Source organism: Homo sapiens, chromosome 7 (assembly GCF_000001405.40).
Source record: "Homo sapiens chromosome 7, GRCh38.p14 Primary Assembly".
Classification (NCBI taxonomy): Eukaryota; Metazoa; Chordata; class Mammalia; order Primates; family Hominidae; genus Homo; species Homo sapiens.
The window spans coordinates 90783309-90795081 of NC_000007.14; the positions used below are offsets into that span (position 1 = coordinate 90783309).

The following is an 11773-nucleotide window of genomic DNA, read 5'->3' on the forward strand; positions in this document are numbered from 1 at the left end:
TTGGGTTTTATTCAAAAAGAAATTAATGTGTCCATTTTTGCTTTGGTTGGTTGTACTTTTGAGGTTTTACTGAAGAACTATTTGCCCAACCAATGTTCTGAAGCATTTCCCAATGTTTTCTTTTAGTAGTAAGCGTCTACAAGCAAACAATCAACAAAGTGAAGAGACAGCCTACAGAATGGGAGAAAATACTTGCAAACTGTTCAGCAGACAAGGGATTAATAACCAGAATACATAAGGAACTCAAACAAATAGCAAAAACAAAAATCCCCCCAAACCCCTAAAGATCGATTAAAAAATGGGCAAAACATTTGAATAGACATTTCTCAAAAGAAGAGATATGCATGTTCAACAGGTGTATGAAAAAATGCTCAACATCATTAAAAATCTGAGAAATACAAATCAAAACCATAGTGAGATATCATCTCACCCCAGTTAAAATGGCTTTTATCTGAAAGACAGGCAATAACAAATAGCGATGAGGATATGGAGAAAGGGGAACACTTGTATGCTGTTGGTGGGAATGTAAATTAGTACAGCTGCTATAGAGAATACTGTGGAGGAGCGTCAAAAAACTAGAACTACCATATCATCCAGCAGTCCCACTCCTGGGTGTATCTATCCAAAGGAAAGGAAATCAATATGTGGAAGAGATACCTGCACCCCCATGTTTATTGCAGCACTGTTCACAATAGTCAAGGTATGGAATCAGCTTACAAGTGTCCGTCAGTGGATGAATGGATGAGGAAAATGTGATAGATAGTACACAATAGAATATTATTCAGCCATAAAAAATAATTAGATATTGTCACTTGCAACATGGGTGGAACGGGAGGACATTAACTTCGTAAATAAGCCAAGCACTAAGACAAATAGCACATGTTCTCAGTCATATATGGGAACTAAAAAATTGTTCTCATGGAGGTAGAGTAGAATGATGGTTACTGGAGGTTGACAAGGGTCGTGGAGAGATGGAGGATAAAGAGGGGTTGATTAATAGGCACAAAAACACAGATAGAAGGAATAAGACCATTTGGTAGCACAATAGGATGACTATAGTTAACAATAATTTATTGCATATTTCAAAATAGCTGGAGGAGTGGATATGGAAAGTTCTCAACAAAAAGAAATGATAAATGGTTGAGGTGGTGGATGCCTCAATTACCATAATTTGATCATTACACTTTATATGTTTATATCAATAGCATATGTACCCTGTAAATATGTACAACTATTATGTATCCATAAGTTTTTTTAAAAAGAAATTAATTTAAGACAAACTAGTTTTAGTCTTCTTCCACTTCTCTCTGTATTACTTTGATATAGATTATGACAAGGTGTAATTACTGACAGTTTACCTTGAAATTTTAATTTATTTTTCTGGAATAAAGTATTGTAGTTAGCACTTTTAGGATATTCCTGAAGAGTAAATGTTAAACAGTGTTGAGATGACTTCTTATTCACACCTGAATCAGAATTGAATTTAGATGACAGTAACAATGTCATGAATATTTAGTTAAGTTTAATTTTTGAAATATGTATGTAATACAGTATAGTGAGCATTTTAACTAGCATATAAAGAGGGAATTAATAAATGAAACACTATTAATATAACTTTAAAAATATTTTTAATAACTTTGCCAAAAATCTGTAAATTCTTCTGAAAATATTGTCCTTGCCCTACTCCAGCATTCTACTGTCACTCCCTCCAAAGTATCTACATTTCCTTCTATTGCTTCTAGACCAATACCGCAAGGAAACGAGCATTGTATATGTCTGCACTTGGTATTATTTTCCTTCGCAGTTTCTCTTGAGACAAAATCATAATGGAAGAGAGAAGCAGAATATATTAAATTTCCCAGATTATATTAAATTTATTTTGGGTATATTGCTTTAATTTCCTTCATATCTTGTAGACATAATTTCTTCTAGGTGTTAGCACATGGACACTGTTTTCAGAGATGACACAGATAATATTTGTAATTTTGTTTTCTTGTGCTAAGATAGTCTATTAATTTGAAGTAACTAATGGAATAGAAGACCTTTAGGCTTTCTTTGAGAATTTTTTTCCATAAGGAAGTTCTCTTTAAGCATCATCTTTTGAAACTGGAAAATGTACTTTGAGCTAAGTGGGGAGTTTTCCTTTATTGTTTTTGCAGAACATTAAATGAACAAATGAATGGGTGAAAAAATAAATAGGCTGTTTTCTTTATTGATAACTTCTCTCAGCACTATGGGAGGCCGAGATGGGCAGATCACGAGGTCAGGAGATGGAGACGATCCTGGCTAACACGGTGAAAACCCATCTCTACTAAAAATACAAAAAAAATTAGCTAGGCGTGGTGGTGGGCGCCTGTAGTCCCAGCTACTCGGGAGGCTGAGGCAGGAGAATGGTGTGAACCTGGGAGGTGGAGCTTACAGTGAGCTGAGATCATGCCATTGCACCCCAGCCTGGGCGGCTGAGTGAGACTCCGTCTCAAAAAAAAAAAAAAAAAAAAGAGAAAACTTCTAGACCTTGCTTTACTCCCACAAGAAAATTTTATATTTACAAATTTAGGGCACACAGATGTGTGGACAGAGTTTCTGAAATTGACAGATTTGGATTTGTGCTTTGTGCTTAGAAACAGTTTGAAAGTTGGATCCCCTTTCAGCCTGGCTCTACCTGGCTACCCAGTATCCCCATGTCCTGTGCATGGAGATATTCTCCCCACTCCTGCCCAGTGCAGTTCTTCCTGGTACGGCACTTTGGAGTTCATGCCGCCTGATGGGCAGACTAAAGCAATGAGTCATGGCTCCTTTGGGCTAAGCTGGGAATGACAGTTATTGGAAAAATAAGAGAATAAGCATAAAGAATCTCTGAAATAAAATGGCTCTCTATACAGCTTAAAGCAACTACAGGCAAATTTGGCAGTAACTGCAATAGAACATTCTGTGGTAATATTAGCACAATTTAGAGCCCTTTTTATTTACCTGAATTAACGTCTCCACTGGCAATCAAGCCCTGATTGCCTTCTATTCATTAGCCTTTGATTTAATTAATAAGACTTGTTGAAGAGGGATCTTCAATGTTTTTCTGTAAACAGCTCTAATTTATTGATTCAATTTGAATTTTGTGATTATTTCAAGTTATTTAAATCAACGTTTGAATTATATGTTTGAAGTTTTCATAAAATAGGTTAAATCCACAAGATAATTAGAAGACACAATGTTCATTTTGTTTTTCATACAGTAATATATCTTTTTGATATCTTTAAAAATTTCCATTTTGTAAATGAGTTAGTAACTTAGACTGTCAAATATTTCAGGTCATATTAAACTTTAAAATAAGGCTGGACACAGTGGTTCACACCTTAATCCCAGCACTTTAGGAGGGTGAGGCAAGAGGATCACTTGAGCCCAGGAGTTCAAGACTATCCTGGGCAACATAGTGAGACCTTTTCTCTAAAATTTTTTTTTTTAAATTAGCCTGACGTGATGGCATGGCTCTGTAGTCTCAGCTACTCTGGAGGCTGAGGTAGGAGAATCTCTTGAGCCCCGGAGATGGAGGCTGGAGGCTGCAGTGAGCCATGATCATGCCACTGCACTTCAGCCTGGACAACAGAGTGAGACCCTGTCTCCAAAAAAAAAAAAAAAAAAAGGTTTAAAATATACATGAACAAAAGGTAGACTATTAAAAAATTTCTTAACGTTATTTTTTCCACAGCTGTCTTTTCTAAAAGTAGACCCAGTGACTTAACATTTTTACCAGGCTTTAGAACTGAGAGACTCAGTAGTTGTTGAGTGTTGAGACACGTAGATAAAAAGTAATTAAGAAAGGAGAAAGTCACAATGACTCTTAGGTTAAAGAGCAATTTGATAATCAGTGTAATTCTTAATGAGAAACCAATGAAGCAGTCGTAGAAAAGGGAGATGCTGATTAGTGGTCTTTGCTCAGATTATTAAAGATTAGTAAGGTTAGTGAGTGTTTTGAAACATGTCTGCTGGATGCAAAAAGGTTAATTAACAAAGCATTCTACAAATTCTTAAGGAATATAAAAACTTAAAGGAAATAAAAACTTTTCTATATGTAGATGCAGTAAACATAAAGAGACCACACCTTTTATTTATAAAAAGAAAATAAACATTTAAACCTAACATGAAAGATGTTGAAAACTTTATAAAATGTTGGTATTTTTGAAATTTTTGGAAATAATACTTTTAGTAATTTATTCTGGACTTATTTTGCAGGTATGATGAGGAAAATGTTAGTATACTATTATAACAGCATTAATATTCACCCAGTGAAATCTACTCTGTGCCAAGAAGGTCCTAGATACTGAGCACATATCAGTTGATAAAACAGGAAAAGTCCCCTTCATTTCTGGAACTTATGGTGTAGTATATATTTTAAGGAAATTTTAGTTTGAAGTGATGTAATACATAAAATCTCAGTGTCATGAACTGTTGAGATGATCATAACTTATTAAAAACAAACACTTGGAGGTTCAATTCATGGAGAATTCAGAATATGAATTCCATGAACCTAGGTCTTGTTTTTTTATGCAGTTACCATAGAAAATATTTTCAAAGACCTTTTTCACTATGAAAATAATACAAATTAGTCAGTGAAATTACTTAGGGGGAATCCATCTTTAGTTGCACTTAAAAAATGAGTGTTGATTCAATTAAAGGCTGGTGTCCTTTCAGTGTGTTACAAGGCAAACATAGTTTCATGCCTGAGAATGTACTTCAAGTACACAACCTACAGAAGCATGCGGTTCCTATATTCCAGAACTCAGTTCACAATACGTGATATATAAAAGTTAACGCTCTCAAGAGAAATGGAAAGCTCTGCGGGAAAAAGGTTGTGTGTGTGTTTTATGGGTGAGGGGAAAATATCTGTAAATGAGGGGAAAATTCCAAGCAGTTCCTGGAATCAGTTACTGCCTCCTCAGGGAGCCAGTGATGAGCTCAACTGGGCTGAGAAAAATTCATGCAGTTATCAGCACTAACTGCATCCCAGCCTCAAGCCCTGCCAAAGTGCTTAGTCCTAAAAGATGAAGTGAAGAGTACAAGGTGCAGTCTCCAGCTGAACCCCATGTGCATAGTAATTTTTTTTGCCTGCATCTGGGTACCTAGAGCACAAACAGGATTAGAAAAATCAAGAAAATATACTCAGGAGAAGAAGTTGCAGAACAGAAAAGCAGCAGGCCTGTCCTGTCTGCTAAAGCAGAAGGAAAAAGAAACACAACTCCTGACCTTGAGGAGATGGTACGTTGTGGAGCCTTATAATCAGGTCTCCCTATCCCATTACTGTAACCAATAATAATGTATTTCCGCAATCAGTTCAATGAGAAATGCCACTAGGATGGTTCAACTATGATGAAGTCCTTGTTCTTTTGGGTTTTATGTCTATGGCAGTTTTTTGAGCGAAAGCAGACCAAATAGATGTAGGTTTAAAAAAGAGACATTCAAATTCTTTCAAACTCAGACACTGGATTCTCTGGCCCACATAAGTTCTCCTTTGCTAGTTCTTTAACCTCTAGAGATTTTTGGTAGCCATTTAAATTGCAACAAGAGACCATTTTTGACCTATTAAATTGGCAAAATCAGACACTGAGAACATATAGTGTAGGTGAAGGAGGAGAGGCAGGGGAGCTCTATTTGGTATAGGAAAGGATACCAAATATTTATATTGGTATCCTCTATGTAGGATGCTTCTCCAATATTCATCAGAATTGGAGATCAGAAATGCACATACCTTTGACCTTGCAATGGCACTTTTAGGAATTTAACTTACGGACATATTTTTACAGGATGGAATTACACATACAAGAATATTTATTACATCATTGTAGTAGCAAAATTTGGGAACAAGCTACATAGCTATCAACAGAGGACTGGGATTAAACTTAGTATGCTATACTCATACATAAGAACACCCTGTGGTTTTTGAAAGCAAAAGGCAGTTTTCTATGAATTTATGTCACCAAAATATGTTGTTAAGTGTAAACAATATAGAGTGTACTCTGTATTGTATACCACTATTTGTGTATGTGTGTATATTTATGTGTATATATATGTGTGATACATATATATGTAAGTCTATATATCTTGTACCTTTTACATTTTTAATACAGTTGTCTCTCCATGTTTGAGGTTTCTGCATCTAGATTCAACCAAATTTGGATTGAAAATAATTGGGAAAAAAGACATAATATAACAATTAAAATGATATGTGTAAAAAATACAGTATAACAACTATTTACATAGTGTTTATATTGTATTAGGTATTATAAGTACTCTAGAGATGATTTAAAGTATATGGGTGGTGGGCACAGGTTTTATGCAAACACTACAGCATTTTGTGTAATAGACTTACACATCCTCAGACTTGGTATCAAAGGGGATCCTGGAACCAATCCACTGAGGATTATATGTGTGCTTTTGTTTTTTCCTATTTTAATTAACAAACAAACCAAATAAAGTATGGTTCTAGGCCCAGTGTAGGTAGAAAATAGAACAGTCAAGGAGGGGACTAATATAGATAGTTATGTCTTTGATTGATGGCAGAAATGACTGGATAAAAAGTTAACTCCATAGCACAATCTTACTTTTAATTGGCGCCAACACATATTTAGAATGTGTCTGGAAGGACCATCTGCTTTGGATAGGTCTTGTGTAATCTTGTAATGGTAAAATATTCATAACTTTTTTGATGACATACTGTAATATAAAGCACAACTAGACCAAATATAATTTTAGGAGGTTGTAGTAAAAAAGAAAAAAAAACAAAAAAAGGGGAATTTTTTCCTTTTTTTTTTTTGAGAGAGAGAGAAGAATGTCAAGTTTCTGTCCTTGGGAATTGAATGACCTCAGCTAAAGACTGAAAATGAAGACATTTCAGCAGAAGGAACAAAGAGGGAGCTATTGGAGAAACAAAGGAACAGAGTTATTTTTGATTGCATGATTTTTAATTAATCTGAGACTAATTATCAAGTGTGGTGATTTGGTTAAATACTAGTTTCATTCTGGAAGGAACACAGTGAATCACAGAAAAATTCAGTTAAATCTTGGCCTATGCAAGTATGAATATTTAAAATGTGAATATTTATGATGATGATACAGAATTCCCAGCCGAAACCTTGCTTTGGTGGTATAATTGAATCACTGACATTTTTAGCATAAAAGTGAATTTATTTAGTTATATAAATTATAAGGAAGACAATTAGAACTATAATGGGCACATATTTTTATGAATTCACTTATCTTTCATTTCTCACAGGGTAAATGGGAAGTTGGTAGCTCTGAAGGTGATCAGGCTGCAGGAAGAAGAAGGGACACCTTTCACAGCTATCAGGGAAGGTAGGCACTTTTCCTTGTTGATATTGCTTTTGTGTTTCTATGGTCCCCGTAGCTATTTTAATATTATACACCTCTGAATATGCTGAGTTTTAAAATTACAGGATTGTATCTTTCATTAAAATGTGTAAACTGAAATTTAAAAATCAGTATCTCTTGCAGTCATGTCAAATCATGTTAAATGAAACAAGATTATCTGCTGTGTGCTCAGATGTGGAATAAAATGCTGTGCATTAATGGTGAAGCTATCTAGGTAACTGAGGAATTTTGTATGTCTGCTATCATTTACAGAGTTCCTTAGATACATATTAGTTTAACATTATTCCGTATTGATGATTTTTAAGGAAAAATCTTTAAAAATGGGGATTTGTCATGCCATCTTACTAGGCATTTGAATTTCTTTTCTTCCTTTGTTTCTATCCTTTACTGTACTTTTACTGGTTTTTCTGATTGGAAGAAGATAACATAGACATTCTTTATATATTAGGGTCATTTATGTTGTGATATTTTCCTCTAGTCTGTTATTTTCTAAAATTTCTTTTATAATGTAGTTATTTGCTACATATAAGATTTTATTTTTTATTAAATCAAATAGCTCTATCTTTGCTTTGTTACCTGCATAGAAAGGCTTTTGTATTCCAAGAGAATAAAATATCTTTTTTTTTAATCAGTGGGAACTTTTCAGTTCAGTTTAATAAGTTTTAGGATAAGTAGGTTTACCTCTACTACATTTTTAAAAGTGCAGATTATCTTGACATAAGACTTCAGTTTATTTTTGCATTGAAAGGATCACAGCTATTATTCTCTTCATCCATAACAAGATAAATTGGTGGTTTGCTGCAATAATTTATCAAGGTATTGATGAACTAAATGTGGTCTGTCACTGCTTTGGTTTGTTTCCCACAACTGTTGATATGATTTACATGTACAACTATTGATATGATTTACATGTATCATTTTTGAAAATCTTGTTTCTATTTCTACTCTCTCACCTCTTATTCTCCTTTTCATTCAATTTTAATTTTGTTTCCATCATTTATCTTTAGCGGAAACTGTTCTTATAAAGTTCATCAGTCACTTGCTTCTTGTCAAGTCAAATGTATACCTCTCTGTCTTATTTTACCCAGCCTTTTAGCAGATTGCATGGTTGAAACGGTCTCTTCTGTGACATCAGATTTTCCAAGTAGGTAGGTTTTTCTCTTAGGCTGACCTTTTCTCTGAGTTAGGGGGAGTTTCAGGACAGGAAAGGGCTTCTTTTTTTTTTTTTTTCTGGGACAGAATCTTGCTCTGTCACCCAGGCTGGAGTGCAATGGCACAATCTCGGCTCACTGCAACCTCTGTCTCCCCGGTTCAAGCAATTCTCCTGCCTCAGCCTCCTGCATAGCTGGGATTACAGGCGTGCGCCACTACGCCTGGCTAATTTTTTATTTTTAGTAGAGATGGGGTTTCACCGTGTTGGCCAGGCTGGTCTCGAACTCTTGAAGTAGTGATCCACTCACCTCGGCCTCCCAAAGTGCTGGGATTACAGGCGTGAGCCACTGTGCCTGCCTTTTTTTTTTTTTCTTTCTAATAAGCACTCTGTCCTAGGTGATATTATTTATTTCATGAGTTTAAAGAGAAGCTATAAGTTGATATCCTACACATGCATCTCTTTAGCTAAGACCTTGTCTTCATCTCCATTTCATATATCCACCTGCCTATTTGGCATCTTCTCTTGAATACAGTAGTATATAAAAAGGATACTACATCACTACCAACTGAGATTCATTTCAGGAATACAAGGCTAGTTTAATCTTTAAAAATCAATCATTGTATGACAGTCATCTCAGACTTAACACATCTGAATGGAACTCATGATCCTCCCACTATAAATGAAACCATGTTCTCCCTGTATTAGTAATAGCAGCATCCAGTGCTTCCTCTACCCAAATCTAGCCATGAACAAGCCCTGTTGATTACCTCTCTAAATGATACCTGAAATCTGTCCACGTTCTGTCTCTCCACTGCCACCCCTAGTCCAGGATACCATCAGTTCTTCCATGGACTTCTGTAATAGCTTCTTAATTATACACCTCACTTCTCTTGCCTTATTACTATCCCTTCTCTACTCTGTTAGCCGTATAATATTTTTGAAAACTAAAATCATATTATGTCAATCCCCTTATTTAAAATTGCTTCAAGTCCTATATGACTGATTTTCTTCAAACATGCTATAGAGTTTCCTGTCTCAGGAATTTTACACATGTTGTTCCCCATGGCTGGAATGCTCTTCCCTGGCTCTTTTTAGATTTAGGGGTCAATTCAAACATCCCATTTCAGAGAGAGTTTCTTTGTCCATTTATCCAAATTAGTGGCTGACCATCATTTTATGCATCTTTACTCTCCACATCACACCCTATTTTTATTTCCATTATAATTCTTATTGGAATGTGAAAATTTCTTTCCACTCTGTATATAATCTTAGTGAGGTCAGAGACCTTGTCTGATTGTTCACTGCTGTACCCTCAACATCTAGCATGGTAATCACTCTACAATAGTAAGTGACTTAAGGAAAATCATTAGGTTAGAATCTATAAATATGACAGATTATTAGATACAGTCTGTTCCCTCAAGGAACCTGCCTTGCAGGTGGGAGGTAGAACATATAAATCATAAGTTGAAGAATAATATGTGGTAGCATATTAATGCCAAATTATTTATAAAAGATTTTGAAATCTAAAAGATTGTGAAATTATTTCTAAAAGATTGTGATTTTTAAGGAAATTCTTCCATTAGTGATGGGAGGTAAAGTGTTAGCTAGGACTTGAATTAGGCATAAGATAGAAAAACAGTAAAGAGTAGATTGAGGAGAAGTGTTCCAGACAGGTATAGAAAAGGAGCTGAGACCAGAAAGCTCAATGCCTTTGCCAAGTGCAGTGAACAGGAGGAATAGTTAAGATCAGGAGTTCTCAATTGATAGAGTGGGAGGGATGGGTAATTATTGCTCCATGGAAGTGGCTTTTGTCATCACAATAATTGAACAATGCAACCATGTTTAGTGGATGAGAGCTTGGCATTTACGTGAGAAACTCTTAATACAGAGGGAGGCAAACTGTGGCTTGGGGCCTGCTGTCTGTTTTGGTAAATAAAGTTTTATTTGAACGCAGCACTCCAACTCATTTATGTATTGTCTATGGCTGCTTTCTTGGAGTTGAGTACTTTTGACAAACTGTATGGTCCCCCAAACTTAACAGTATATGCTATTTGGCCCTTTCAATAAAAGTTTGTCAGTCTCTGCTCTAATACAATAAACAATTGTCTATCGGGGGAAACCAGCCCACGATATTCAACATGAGTCCTTTTCTATTTTTCCTAAGTGTCGGATGGTCTGAGAAATAAAGGGAAAGAGTACAAAAGAGAGAAATTTTAAAGCTGGGTGTCCGGGGGAGACATCACATGTTGGCAGGTTCCATGATGCCCCCTGAGCCGTAAAACCAGCAAGTTTTTATTAGTGATTTTCAAAAGGGGAGGGAGTGTATGAATAGGATGTGGATCACAGAGATCACATGCTTCACAAGGTAATAAGATATTACAAGGCAAATGGAGGCAGGGCGAGATCACAGGACCGGGGCGAAATTAAAATTGCTAATGAAGTTTCGGGCACGCATTGTCATTGATAACATCTTATCAGGAGACAGTGTCGGGGAGCAGACAACCGGTCTGACCAAAATTTATTAGGCGGGAATTTCCTCATCCTAATAAGCCTGCGAGCTCTATGGGAGACCAGGGCTTATTTCATCCCTTGTCTACAACTGTAAAAGACAGATATTCCCTAGGCGGCCATTTTAGAGACCTCCCCTTGGCAATGCATTCTCTTTCTCAGGGATGTTCTTTGCTGAGAAAAAGAATTCAGCGATATTTCTCCTATTTGCTTTTGAAAGAAGAGCAATATGGCTCTGTTCTGCCCGGCTGTCAGGCAGCCAGACCTAATAGTTATCTCCCTTGTTCCCTGAACATCGCTGTTATCCTGTTCTTTTTTCAAGGTGCCCAGATTTCATATTGTTTAAACAATTTGTGCAGTTAACACAATCATCACAGGGTCCTGAGGCGACATTCATCCTCAGCTTATGAAGATGATGGGATTAAGAGATTAAAGTAAAGACAGGCATAGGAAATCACAAGAGTATTGATTGGGGAAGTGATAAGTGTCCATGAAATCTTCACAATTTATGTTCAGAGATTGCAGTAAAGACAGGTGTAAGAAACTATACAAGTATTAATTTGGGGAACTAATAAATGTCCATGAAATCTTCACAATTTATGTTCTTCTGCCATGGCTTCAGCCGGTCCCTCTGTTCAGGGTCCCTGGCTTCCTGCAACAGTTGTCTCATGTCCCACAAGCTTTTTTTTAATGTCTTACTGAGCATTCATGCAGGTGAAAAATCTGTTTATA

The 11773-nt window shown here is 35.9% G+C and overlaps 1 protein-coding gene across 4 annotated transcripts in view; it reads left to right on the top strand.

Moving 5' to 3' along the window:
* CDK14 (cyclin dependent kinase 14) overlaps window positions 1-11773 on the top strand; it is a 614270-nt gene that overhangs the window by 186988 nt on the left and 415509 nt on the right. For all 4 annotated transcript variants that reach the window (NM_001287135.2, NM_012395.3, NM_001287136.1 and 1 more), the window contains one exon: window positions 7265-7344. In NM_001287135.2, the coding sequence (NP_001274064.1) occupies window positions 7265-7344 (80 nt within the window). The remainder of the gene's footprint in view (window positions 1-7264; window positions 7345-11773) is intronic.